Source organism: Homo sapiens, chromosome 1, assembly GCF_000001405.40.
Source record: "Homo sapiens chromosome 1, GRCh38.p14 Primary Assembly".
Taxonomy (NCBI): Eukaryota; Metazoa; Chordata; class Mammalia; order Primates; family Hominidae; genus Homo; species Homo sapiens.
Genome location: NC_000001.11, coordinates 246,692,590 through 246,706,854, shown reverse-complemented (window position 1 = coordinate 246,706,854; position 14,265 = coordinate 246,692,590). Strand labels below are relative to the sequence as shown.

General features: G+C 46.0%; 1 annotated feature.

Annotated features, from left to right (window-relative positions):
- Nucleotides 7,375-7,804: an enhancer, noted in NCBI's record as "active region_2858". NCBI's record gives its function as "activates an Ori minimal core promoter by ATAC-STARR-seq in GM12878 lymphoblastoid cells {active_cell/tissue: GM12878}" and the evidence as "EXISTENCE:reporter gene assay evidence [ECO:0000049][PMID:35858748]".

Genomic DNA, 14,265 nt, shown 5'->3' with positions numbered 1-14,265 from the left:
TCTGTGTTAAAGTTTTCCTGATAGATATCTTTCACCTCCTTGGTTAAATTTATTTCTAGGTATTTTTATTTTTGTAGCTATTGTAAATGGTGGTGCAAACTCAGCTCACTTTAACCTCCACGTCCCCAAGCTCAAGTGATCCTCCCACCTCAGCCTCCCAAGTACCTGGGACCAGGCTGAGTAGGCTGAGGAGGAACAGGTGGGGTTGGTCTTGCTGTCTCAAGGGCAGCAGAGATGGAGATGGAAGAAAGTTTACGTATAAGTAGATCTGTGAAGTTCAAACCTGCGTTGTTTAAGGATCAACTGCAAAGATCATATTGTCTGCAAATAGGCCATTTGATTCCTCATTTCCAATTTGGATACCCTTTATTTCTTTCTCTTGCCAATTGCTCTGGCTGGGTCCTTAACGTTTTTAAATTGTATATGTTTAAGGTATAGAATATAATGTTTTGGTGCACTTAATAAATATCCTTAACATTATTTGATGGCCATTTTTTTCTGATTTCACATTATATTCAAATTAACGAAAAAAATCCACATAGTACTGGTAGACATAATTTAAGTACTTCCCTACAGATGTACATTTAGACCTTTTCCAATTTGTCACTTTTTTTTTTTTTTAAGACGGACTCTTGCTTTGTCTCCAGGCTGGAGTGCAGTGGTGTGATCTCGGCTCACTGCAACCTCCTGTAATCTCTGCCTCCCAGGTTCAAGCGATTCTCCTGCCTCAGCCTCCCAAGTAGCTGGGATTACAGGTGCATGCCACCATGCCTGGCTAATTTTTTGAATTTTAGTAGAGACGGGGTTTCACCATGTTGGCCAGGATGGTCTCAATCTCCTGACCTTGTGATCCGCCCGCCTCGGCCTCCCAAAGTGCTGGGATTAGAGGCGTGAGCCACCGCGCCTGGCTCACTATACATATTCTTATATAACTTTTCCTTCTTAATAATCGTATTAGAGTAAATTTCCACATCTAAGATTACCGTGCCAAAAGCTCTTGCTCTCTATCCTGTATTTCACATCTATGGTACGTTTATTGAAGTATGGCTTGGGCCTGTCTGTATATATCAGTACGTGAACCTGAACTACTTCTATGGCCATTGCAAACATAAAGGTCTGGGGAAGCAAAATCTTGGTGAACAAATAGAGTTTCCAAACTTTTTTACTAGATCATGTTTTGATAATGGGGGAGGGAAAGTAGTGTCTTTCTTTACTTATGAATCATAGCAATAAGTAATTGGTTATTTAGCCTTCCAGAAAATAGATTCTGACTTATGTTTATGGGCAGAAAAGATTTCCCACAAGATATTTGGGCGTTGTCTGAATGTCTGAAATTGCTCAACTCACTTGCTACATTCTTTCAGTACTGCCTCACTATAGAAAGAACCAGAGAGATGGAAAATAAGTTTACCACTAAGACGGTTTTACATCACATTCTTTCAGTACGGCCTCACTATAGAAAAAAACAGAGAAAGGGAAAATAAGTTTACCATTAAGATGGTTTTACACCACATTCTTTTTCTCTTTGAGATTTATTTTTTAAAAAATCTTCGAGTCAGGTCAGGCACATTCACGCCTGCCATCTCAACACTTTGGGAGGCTGAGGCAGAAGGATCACCTGAGCCCAGGAGTTTGAGACTAGCCTGGGCAACATAATGAGATCCTGACTCTACAGAAAAATAGGAAAATTAGCCAGGAGTGGTGGTGCACACCTGTAGTCCCAGCTACTCAGGAGACTGAGAGGGGAGGATCACTTGAGCCCAGGAGTTCAAGGCTGCAGTAAGCTATGATCATGCCACTGTACTCCAGCCTGGATGACAGAGCAAGACCCCATCTCAAAAAAAAAAAAAAAAAAAATCTCCAAGTCCACAGAAAGATTAAAAAATGATAATAATACAATAAATACCCATATGCTCTTCTTAATTCACTAATTGTTAACATTTTGCCACTGTTTTTCTCTATCTCCATACATATATTTTTTTCTGAACCATTTAAAAGTTGCAAATATACTGACCTTCGCCCCTAAAATTTTCTAGCATTCACTTATTTCTTGAGAACAAAGACATTCTCCTACATAATCATAGCACCATTATCACACTGAAGAAATGTAACATTGTTACAATAATATGAACTAATAGCTGGAATATATTCACATTTCAAATTGTCTTGAAAATGTCTCATAATATTTTTTAAAATCCAGGCTTCAATCTTCAATCGAGGATTATACATTTGGTTGTCATGTCTCTTTAACCTCCTGGAATCTGGAAGAGTAACCTCTTTTAAAAAAATCTTTTATGACTGACATTTTTGAAGAGTTCAGGCCAGTTGACATGTAGAATGTCACACAATCTGGATTTGTCTGACTGTATCCTCAGAATTGGATCCAGGTTTAAAAATTCAGCAAGAATACTACATTGGTGATTTTTTTTTTTTTTTTTAACAGTCTTGCTCTTGTCGCCCAGGCTGGAGCAGTGGTGCAGTCTTGGCTCACTGCAACCTCCACCCCCCAGGTTCAAGCGATTCTCCTGCCTCAACTTCCCGTGTAGCTGGGATTACGGTGTGCACCGCCATGCCTGGCTGATTATTGTGTTTTTAGTAGAGATGGGGTTTCGCCATGGTAGCCAGGCTGGTCTCAAACTCCTGACCTCAAGCAATCCACCCACCTTGGCCTCTCAAAGTGCTGGGATTACAAGTGTGAGCCACCGCCTGCATTGGTGATTTTAGTAGGAACTATTCTAAGGTGATCCCCAAACGACCCTTGTCCTTGTGTCACTTCCTTCCCGTAAATGTAGGTAGAGCCTGTGAATGTGAAGAGCTGCCGCTCCTGTGGCTATGTGACCTTCAACGACGAGGAATTTCACAGATGTAGTTAAGGTCTCAAATAAATTTATCTGAAATTTGAGAGATTACTCAAATGGGCCTAGCCATTTAAATCCTGGTCTAGAGATCAAGACGGAGGAAGCCAGAAATGTGAATTTCAAGAAGGGCTCAATGTGTCTTTGATGGCTTAAAGATACAGGAAACCCCAGGGCCGGGAGTGCAGGGAGCCTCTCGGAGCTGAAGCAGCTCCTGGCTGACAGCCAGCGAGGAAACCAGGAAACCTGGGTCTTGCAACCACAAGGAACTGAATTCTGCCAACGACAAGAATGAGTTTTAAAGCAGATTTTGCCCGGAGCCTCCAGATGGGAACTCAGCCTGGTCCGCAACTTGATTTCAGCCCAGACATGCTGTGCCAGGCTTTTTTATTTATTTATGTAGAGAAGGAGTCTCGCTCTGTTGCCCAGGCTGGAGTGCAGTGGCGTGATCTCGGCTTGCTACGCTACAACCTCTGCCTCCCGGGTTCAAACGATTCTTCTGCCTCAGCCTCCTGAGTAGCTGGGATTACAGGCGCGTGCCACCATGCCCAGCTAATTTTTGTATTTTCAGTAGAGATGGGGTTTCACCATGTTGGCCAGGCTGGTCTCGAATACCTGACCTCAGGTGATCCACCCACCTCAGCCTCCCAAAGTGCTGGGATTACAGGTGTGAGCCACCGCACCCAGCCAGCAGTTTTCTAATTCTATTGTTCCTTCTGTATTTATCAGCTGGAAGTTGGGAAAATAATTTCTTCATCAACTATTTGTTTACTCTGAAATATTACTGCTAAGGAAAAACAGGAAAAAATACCTGATTTTTTCTTTTTACCAATTTTCAAGATGATAACAGATCAAGTAATATTTTTAGAATCATTATAAACTAATGGGTTTTTATTTGTTTAATATGTTTCAATACATCACAGTCAAAATTTTTCTTGATATTCAAATTGTCCCATCTTTGGCCACTAGTATTCCCTTCAAGTTAGCATCTGTATTCTTTTTTTCTTCTTTATTGAGGTATAAAATAAATATAATAAAGTTTTAAAATACATTACCCTGAAATGTAGAAATCATTGAATTTTAATATATATACGCACCCTGCAACCACCACTCAGATCAAGATACAGGATGTTCCCAGCACCAGAGGATTTCCCTGTACTCCTTTTCATTCAGCACCATCCTCTCCAGGGGTAACCACTATTCTGATTTATTGAACTTCATATAAAAGGAATCATTCAGCCAGGTGCAGTGGCTCACACCTGTAATCCCAGCACTTTGGGAGGCCGAGGTGAGTGGATCACCTAAAGTCGGGAGTTTGAGACCAGCCTGGCCAACGTGGTGAAACCCCATCTCTACTAAAGATACAAAAATTAGCCAGGTGAGGTGGCACATCCCTGTAATCCCAGCTACTCGGGAGGCTGAGGCAGGAGAATCACTTGAACCTGGGAGGCGGAGCTCGCAGTGAGCCAAGATCGTGCCACTGCACTCCAGCCTGGGCAACAGAGCGAGACTCTGTCTCAAGAAAAGAAAGGAATCATTTGGTATGCACTCTTTTTGTATCTGGTTTCTTTCATTCAGCATAATGTCTAAGATTCATCCATATTGCTGCATATATCAGTAATTCCTTATTTTTATTGCTGTATAACACTATGCCATATGAATATAGTTTTTAGTTAAATTTTTATTCTTTTTTTCCTTTTTTTTTTTCTTTGTGAGATGGAGTCTCACTCTGTTTCCCCGGCTGGAGTGCAATGGCGCAATCTTAGCTCACTGCAATCTCCGCCTCCCGGGTTCAAGTGATTTTCCTGCCTCAGCCTCCCGAGTAGCTGGGACTACAGGTATGCACCACCACACTCAACTTATTTTTGTATTTTTGGTAGAGATGGGGTTTCACCATGTTGGCCAGGCTGGTCTCAAACTCCTGACCTCAAGTTATCCACCCACTTTGGCCTCCCAAATTGGTCGGAGTATAGGCATGAGCCACTGTGCCTGGCCAGTTTAGTTTTTTGTTTGTTTGCTTTTTGTTTTTTGATTTTTGTTTTTTTTTTTGAGACAGAGTCTTGCTCTGTCGCCCAGGCTGGAGTGCAGTGGTGCGATCTCGGCTCACTGCAAGCTCCGCCTCCTGGGTTCACGCCATCCTCCTGCCTCAGCCTCCCAAGTAGCTGGGACTACAGGCGCCCGCCACCACGCCCGACTAATTTTTTTTTTGTATCTTTAGTAGAGATGGGGTTTCACTATGTTGGCCAGGATGGTCTTGATCTCCTGACCTTGTGATCCACCCGCCTCGGCCTCCCAAAGTGCTGGGATTACACGTGTGAGCAGTTTAGTTTTTATTCTGCTGCTGATAGCTAATTGGGACACTTCTAGCTTTACTATTATGAATAAGGCTGCTCTGAACTTTCTCATACACAAGGCTTACTACTCAAGTGTACTCATTTCTCTTGGATTTATACCTAGGAGTGAAATTGCCAGAGTAAAGGGTAGGTGTATGTTTAGCTCTGGTAGATCCTGCTAAGCAGTTTTCAAAAGTGGCTGCTTCGGTTAACACTTCAACTAGTAACTGATGAGAGAAAGTTCCAGTTGCTCCCTAACATCATCAACACTTGGTATTCCCCATCCTTTTAATTTTTGAGTTGTTATGTAATGATATTTCATTGCACTTTTAATGTGTGTTTACCTGGTAACTAATGATATAGATCACATTTTCTTATGTCTTTTGGTCATTTGGATATCCTCTTTTTTTTTTTTTTGAGACAGAATCTCGCTCTGTTGCCCAGGCTGGAGTGCAGTGGTGCAATCTCGGCTCACTGCAAGCTCCGTCTCCCGGGTTCACGCCATTCTCCTGCCTCAGCCTCCCAAGTAGCTGGGACTACAGGCGCCGGCCACCACACCCGGCTAATTTTTTGTACATTTAGTAGAGACGGGGTTTCACCATGTTAGCCAGGATGGTCTTGATCTCCTGACCTCGTGATCCACCCGCCTCAGCCTCCCAAAGTGCTGGGATTACAGGCATGAGCCACCGCACCCGGCTATAATCAGAATAATTTATTATGAAAATTAAAATATTCTCAAAATGAGTAAGGAGGATTAACATGTGACATCTAATGAAACATATTGATTTAATCATGTATGGCCTCCAGCTAATTACACACCCACATCTAGCTGTGAGACACACTCTGCTGTTGCCAACTGTCATCTGCACATGTAAGTTTCCAAATTCCATAAGTGAGGTGACTCGAAGTCATAAGAGAAAACTATATTTTGGTTGCCTGATAGTGACTCTCATCTCTGCCTTCCAAGAATCTATGCAGAACTGTGAGGAATCCAGGTTTTGTTTCATCCAGACCCAGGCTTGCCACGAGACATACCTTTAGGCTGCCTGGCATGTATTAATATTCCAGGAAACGGTGCGTTATGCTGGGTTTGGGCCTTTTTTCATTCTATTTCATATACATCTGGCACATATACAAATGTAAATGTCATTTCCATAATAGTTCTTATTGAGCCAGGTGCAGTGGCTTATGCCAGTAATTCCAGCACTTTGAGAGGCCAAGGTGGGAGAATTACTTGAGCCCAGGAGTTTGAGACCAGCCTGAGCAACATGGTGAAACCCCATCTCTACAAAAATAAATAAATTAGCCAGACGTGGTGGCAGGCACCTGCGGTCCCAGCTACTCAGGAGGCTAAGGTGGGAAGATTGATTGAGCCCAGGAGTTTGAGGTTGCAGTGAGCCCAGGAGTTTGAGTGCCGTGATGGCGCCACGGCACCCCAGCCTGGGCGACGACAAGACCCTGTCTCAAACCACCCCCAACCAAAAAAACCCCAAAATAGTTGTTATTCTTTTTTTCCTATATTTTCTGTGAACCCAATAGCAGTGGTTTATGCAATATCTTTCCTAAGTCCTAGTAAGAACAAAACTCCCACAAATTACTGCAAACTAGAACATTTCAAATAAATATTCTATAATAACAAAAATGATACAAGTTGGCCAGACGCCGTGGTTCACGCCTGTAATCCCAGCACTTTGGAGGCCGAGGCAGGCAGATCACCTGAGCTCAGGAGTTCGAGACAAGCCTGGCCAACACGGCAAAACCCCATATCTACTAAAACAAAACAAAACAAAACAAAACAAATACAAAAAATCAACTGGGCGTGGTGGCGCACGCCTGTAGTCCCAGCTACTCAGGAGGCTGAGGCAGGAGAATCACTTGAGCCTGGGAAGTAGAGGTTGCAGTGAGCCGAGATTGTGTCACTGCACTCCAGCCTCGGTGACAAAGTGAGACCCTGTCTCAAAAAAAAAAAAAAAAAAGATACAACTCATAAAACAAAATGATAAATACATTGGCACACACTGTGTCACATAGTAAGGGCTGGATTCCTAAGTTAATGAAGATTATTTAGTTGTCATCTTTATGAACATAAAACATTTCATATAAAAAGGAAATATCTCATTTAATTATCAAACAACCTGTAGGATGGGCACTCCGACCCCTGTTTTTCGCGTCTGAGGCCCGTGCACTGTCCTTCCTCGCTTTGTGTTTCGTTTCCAGGGCCTCTTACCAAGGTGTCTCTCTGGTCCTCGCTGTGAGGTGGGTCTTGGTTTCTCCGGACTGAATACTTCCTTCAGGAAGGGAACTTGTGGGGTCACTAGATGGCGCTCTCCGGCTCCTCTTGCCCGAAGGCGGCGTATTTTGATTGGCTTGTGTACTTCCCGGATCAAAGCACCTCTGGGCATTTTCATAACGACTCTTCTTACTGTTTGGGCTATAAATAGCCAGTGACTCTGCTCCACACAGCGTCCCCAGCCTAAGCCCTGCTTGAAGCCCTGTTTGTCTCCCTCAGGAGACCGAGCCCATCTGTTTCACTCTCTTCCTGAGATCATTCTCAGAAGTAGATTAAGCATGTTTCTTTTTCTCTTTTTAATTTAAACTCTACTTATTCATTTTGTAGAGATGGGGGTCTCACTATGTTGCCCAGGCTGGTCTCAAACTCCTAAACTCAAGTAATCCTCCCACTTCGGCTCCCAAAGTGCAGGGATTAGAGGCGTGAGCCACCCCGCCCGGCCACCTAAGCGGTTTTTAGCCCAGCAGCAGAAACATCTAGCAAATAGGAGCCCCACTAGCCACTCCCTCATTAGAAGATGTAAGGGGCATCTATGGGACATAATCCAATATAGGCACAGAGAACCACAGTTGCTGTTTTTCCTTCGGTTGCTCCTCCCTGGATGGGCCATACAGAATTCTGTCTCCTATAGCAGGAGGCTCACAGGCACCCCGTGGGAGGGAGATCTTCTAGCATGCAGAACACCATTTGACACTTACTAACAGGTGGCAATGGATGTTGATATGAAAGAGGTTGGTTTGCCTTCGTGGTGCTCCTCCCTGAGGTATCTGTGGGTCCAAGGCAAATGAAACACAGAAGGCTGTGGGAGGGAAGCTGGGAGAGTGGAGACTGAATGAGTGGGAAAGGAAGATGGGGTTTCCTGGTGCCCACCCTTGGTGGTCTAAGCACAGGTGAAGGGTTACCTAAGGAATCAGTAAAGAAATATTTGCAGCCGGCGCGGTGGCTCACGCCTGTAATCCCAGCACATTGGGAGGCCGAGGCAGGAGGATCACTCGAGGCAAGAAGTTTGAGACCAGCCTGGCCAACGTGGTGAAACCCCGTCTCTACAAAAAATACAAAATTTAGCCGGGCATGGTGGCACACGCTTGTAATTCCAGCTACTCAGGAGGCTGAGGCAGGAGAATTGCCTGAACCCAGGAGGCAGAGGATGCAGTGAGCCAAGATCATGCCTGGGTGACAGAGCAAGAGTCCGTCTCAAAAAAAGGAAGAAAGAAAGAAATGTTTGCACCATCATCTAGCCCTTTGGGTAAGAATGAGTTCTGAACACCCAGCAGGAGCATCATGTAGGTAGGCACAGTGACGAGTGGGACTGCCATCCTCCTTGGCTCACACAATTCTACCAGACCGGTTTACTGCAACGTCCTCTGTCTCCCCAGGAATGCACGCTAGAATCAAGGCAGGGAAACTGATGTTCAGTGGGAATATCTGGGTAAGCACTATCAAACACATTTACTAGCTCTCTTGAGACCAAAGCCATCCAAATTAGACTGCTGATATCTATTTGTTTACAGGAATTAAATAAGGATAAGAGAGCCAGGCATGGTGGCAGTGCCTGTGGTCCCAGGTACTCAGGAGGCTGAGGCGGGAGGATCACATAGGCCAGGAGCTCGAGGCTGCAGTGATTGTACCAGCGCACTGCAGCCTGGGGGACAGAGCGAGACCTCATCTCTCTCTCTCTTTTTTTTTTTTTTTTCAGATGGAGTCTCTCTGTCACCCAGGTTGGAGTGCAGTGGCGTGATCTCGGTTCACTGCAACCTCTGCCTCCTGGGTTCAAGCGATTCTCCTGCCTTAGCCTCCCGAGTAGTTGGGACTACAGGTGTGCACCACCACGCCCGGCTAATTTTTGTATTTTTAGTAGAAATGGGGTTTCACCATACTGGCCAGGCTGGTCTCCAACTCCTGACCTTGTGATCCGTCCACCTCAGCCTCCCAAAGTGCTGGGATTACAGGCATGAGCCATGGCGCCCGGCCGACCTCATCTCTTAAAAAAAAAAAAAAAAGAAAGATTTAAACCAACAACAAAAAACCCCTAACAAACATGTGATAGTTGGATTGCGAATACCGATTGGATTAGGGTGTGGCTGAGAAAACCTTGACCCAGCAGGGGCAGAAAGAAGGCACTGCCTTCGGGGCTGGATCAGAGAGGTGCTTTCCCGAGCGGCTTCCTGAGCTGCTCAGCGTTCTGGAGAGAAGGTGGCTTATTTCTGCCCCTTCCCCTGCGGCCGCTGGGCCACGCTCTGGAGGCCGGAGCCCTCCGTGTGCGCCTCTGCTCTGACTCCCGAGGGATGTCGGGCAGCTGAAGCCAGGCAGGGCTCCCGGGTGTGTGACTGTGGTTGTGAGAGTGTCCTCATGCCACATGACAGCGTGGGAAAGGGGCTTGTCTGTTCCTGTAAGGGCACCAAGGCTTCCTGGTTGTATCATTTCCCTTTGGATTTTTGACAGGATCCTTCCCATTCCCAGTGGATTCGGGAAAATCCTTTCGGGCCACTGGTCAGCATTCTTTTCCTCCAGCGAGCTGGGGCACCTCCATAAAGCTGACAGGCAAGGCGCAGGGCCCTCCTCACCACACACACACAGACACACACACACACACACACACACACACACACACGCCTACACACACACACACACACACACACACACACACACACACACACGCCTTTCAGTCACCGCAGGGCAGGGCCCCTGCGCCCAGCATGATGCTGTTCCTTTTGGAAACCACGAGGTGGCGCTGCTGAGACAAGGTCAAAGGTGAGGCTCGTTCCCCTGCGCTGCGAGCAAGAGGCGGCGCCCCTGGTCTGAGTCCTCAGCAGGATCCTGTCCTGGCTGCCGGTGCTGTGGCTTATTCATTGATTTTCCCATCACTTCAGCAAACATTGACTGAGTGCTACCAGGAGCCAAGAAATGGACAATGATCCATGTTCATTGCTATAGTACCTGAACACTTAAAAACACGCTCCCGGGCGGGTGACGCACGCCTGTAATCCCAGCTACTGAGACCTACTGAGGAGGCTGAGGCAGGAGAATCGCTTCAACCCGGGAGGTGGAGGCTGCAGTGAGCCGAGATCGCGCCACTGCACTCCAGCCTGGGCGACAGAGCGAGACTCTATCTCAAAGCAAAACAAAATAAGACAAAAACAAAACCAAGAAAACACGTTTTCAGGAGCTCCCAGGTCCCCAAGTGGAGCTGGAGAGGCTGCGACAGCCCAGGTCTTGAGGAACAGGTGGGTTTTGTAGGTGAGCTTGAATATAGGGGGCGCGGGTGCAGAGGGAGCCTGGCAGGTGTGGGGCAGCCAAGCCAAGGCAAATGGGTGTGACTGACAGTGAGGAGGCTAGACTAGAAAAAGCCTCTCTGGAGGCCTCAGTTTCTTTATCTGTCAAATGAGCTCCAGAGACTCAATGCAGCACTGCCAGGTCCCTCGCCTGGTAGAAGGAAGGGTACCCATGACAGGCTGTAAGAGGCATCCTCGATCATGAGATCATGAGATGGACAGGCCTGCACCCAAACCCCAGCTCAGCCCGCTACTATTTCCGTGCCTCTGACAAGTCCCTTACCTCGCTGACCTCCTGCTTCCTCTTGTAGAAAATGAGATTGATGGGCTGGGCATGGTGGCTTATGTCTGTCATCCCAGCACTTTGAGACACTGAGGCAGGAGAATCCCTCAAGGCCAGGAGTCTGAGACCAGCTTGGGCAATACAGTGAGACCCCATCTCTATGAAAAAATTTTGAAAAATTAGCCGGGCGTGGTGGTGCACACCTGTGGTCCCAAGTACTCGGGAGGCTGAGGTGGGAGGATCGCTTAAGCCCAGGAGTTCACAGCTGCAGTAAGCTATGATTGCACCACTGCACTCCAGTCTGGGCAACAGAGAAAGACCCTGTCTCAAAAAAACAAAACAAAACAAAACAACAACAACAAAAAGAAAGAAAATAAAACAAAATTGATGATACTTGCTTTGATTTGGGAGAATGTATTCTGGCAGGGTTTCAGAGCCAGGAGGCTGTGCTCAAGTTCCGACTCAGCCACTTAGTAATTGTGTGTCCTTGGGAAGTCACTGAACCTCGCTGAGTCAGAGTTTCTTCATGCCTTACATGACTACACCCAGTCTACCTTATAGAATTAATGAAAACTTAAATAAGGTGGTGTTTCCAATCCAGGAGCTAGAGCATAACGGGTGCTGAGTTATTACTTTTCCCTCTTAACTCATGTAGCACTTGCTACCAGAAGTAGAGTTCAGCAATGCGTCCTGCCTTGATTTGCTGATTAATGTTATGTTTGTTGGCCTTGTCTCCGCAACAAGATTTTAAACTTCATAAGGTCATGGACCATGTTGCCGAGCACCATGCCCAGCACACAGTAAGCATGGAATATACAGTCTCCAGCCAAGCACCATGCCCAGCACATGGTAAGCACGGAATATACAGTCTCCAGCCGAGCACCAAGGGCAGTTCACTGATATCGGGGGAACCCACCCACAATATATCAATGTAGGTTCTTTCTATTTTCTATAAGTGTCAGACTGCTGAGAAATAAAGAGAAAGAGTACAAAGAGAGGAATTTTATAGCTGGGCCGCTGGGGGTGATATCACATATCACCGTGATGCCCACCTGAGCCTCAAACCAGCAAGTTTTTTATTAAGGGTTTCAAAAGGGGAAGGGGTGTAAGAACAGAGAGTAGGTACAAAGATCACATGCTTCAAAGGGCAAAAAGCAGAACAAAGATCACATGCTTCTGAGGGAACAGGACAAAAGGCAAAGCAGAACTACTGATAAGGGTCCAACAAAGATCCCAAGGCAAAGGGCAAAAGCAGAACTACTGTTAAGGGTCTATATTCAGCGATGCATGTATTGTCTTGATAAACATCTTAAACAACAGAAAACAGGGTTCGAGAGCAGAGAACCAGTCCGACCACAAATTTACCAGGGCGGAGTTTTTCCCCACCCTAATAAGCCTGAGGGTACTGCAGGAGACCAGGGTATATATCTCAGTCCTTTCCTCAACCGCATAAGGCAGACATTCCCAGAGCAGCCGTTTATAGACCTCCCCCCAGGAATGCGTTCCTTTCCCAGGGTATTAATGTTAACATTCTTTGCTAGGAAAAGAATTTAGTGATATCTCTCCTACTTGCAAGAAGAAAAATATGGCTCTTTTTTGCCCGACACTGCAGGCAGTCAGACCTTATGATTGTCTTCCCTTGTTCCCTAAAAATCACTGTTATTCTGTTCTTTTTCAAGGTGCACTGATTTCATATTTGTTCAAACACATGTTTTACAATCAATTTGTACAGTTAACACAGTTATCACAGTGGTCCTGTGGTGATGTACATCCTCAGCTTACAAAGATAATAGGATTAAGAGATTAAAGTAAAGGCAGGCATAAGAAATTATAAAAGTATTATTTGGGAACTGATAAATGTCCATGAAATCTTCACAATTCATGTTCCTCTGCTGCGGCTCCAGCCGGTCCCTCCGTTCGGAGTCCCGGACTTCCCACAACAACTCAGACTATGGCACTTTCTAGTTTTCTCTTAGAGACAGGGTCTTGCTCTGTCACTCACGCTGGAGTGCAGTGGTATGATCACAGCTCACTGAAGCCTTGACCTCCCAGGCTCAAGTGATACTTCCACCTCAACCTCCCAAGTAGCTAGGACTACGGGTGTGCACCATGGCACCTGGCTAATTTTTTAATTTTTGGTAGGGGCAGGGTCTTGCTATATTGCCCAGACTTGTCTCCAATTCCTGGCCTCAAGTGATCCTTTCACCTCGGCCTCCCAAAGTGCTGGGATTACAGGTGTGAGTCACCATGGGCAATAGCATTTTCACTGATCCAAACAGTATTTGAGGAGATGCTATATTCAGGCTTATACATTCTAGAACTTTTCCTTTTCAAGATTTAAACTTCCTGTATAACAATGTCCTATATCTTGTGGCTGCTAATAACTGGAATAATAATAGCTAACTTTATTGAATGTTTACTGTGTGCTTTATACACATGATCTCATTTAATCTTCATAACAACCTGACGAGGTGATTTATTATTATTCCCACTTTACAGATGAGAAAACTGAGGCTCAGGAAAGTTAAGTAACAAGTGAAGTTTCCACAGCTAGTACTGTAAGTGGGAGAACTGAGATTTAAGTCCAGGTCTTTCTGATACTGGAGTTCTTGCCTGTGAGCACTCTGCAATACTGCCTCCAAAGTAATGACATGCATGCAAGCACCAGGCACATAATAGGTACTCAATAAAAGTTGGCTCTCTTCCTTCAATCAAGAAGTGTATCAAAGGCTGGGCAAGGTGGCTCACACCTGTAATCTAACACTTTGGAAGGCCAAGGAGGAAGGATTGTTTGAGCCCAGGAGTCTGAAACCAGCTGGGCAACATAGTGAGACCTCATCTCTACAAAATATAGAAAAAATTAGCCAAGTGTTGGTGGCACACACCTGTAATCCCAGCTACTTGGGAGGCTGAGGTAGGAGGATCACCTGAGCCCAGGAGGCCGAGGTTGCAGTGAGCTGTGTTTGCACCATTGTACTCCATCCTGAGTGACAGAGTGAGACCCTGAAGCAAGCAAGCAAGCAAACAAGCAAGCAAGAAAGAGAAGGAAGGAAGGGAGGGAGGGAGGGAGGGAAGGAGGGAGGAAGGGAGGGAGGGAGGGAGGGAGTAAGGGAGGGAGGGAGGGAGGGAGGGAGTAAGGGAGGGAGGGAGGGAGGAAGGGAGGGAGGGAGGGAGGGAGGGAGGAAGGAAGGGAGGGAGGGAGGGAAGGAGGAAGGAAGGGAGGGAGGGAGGA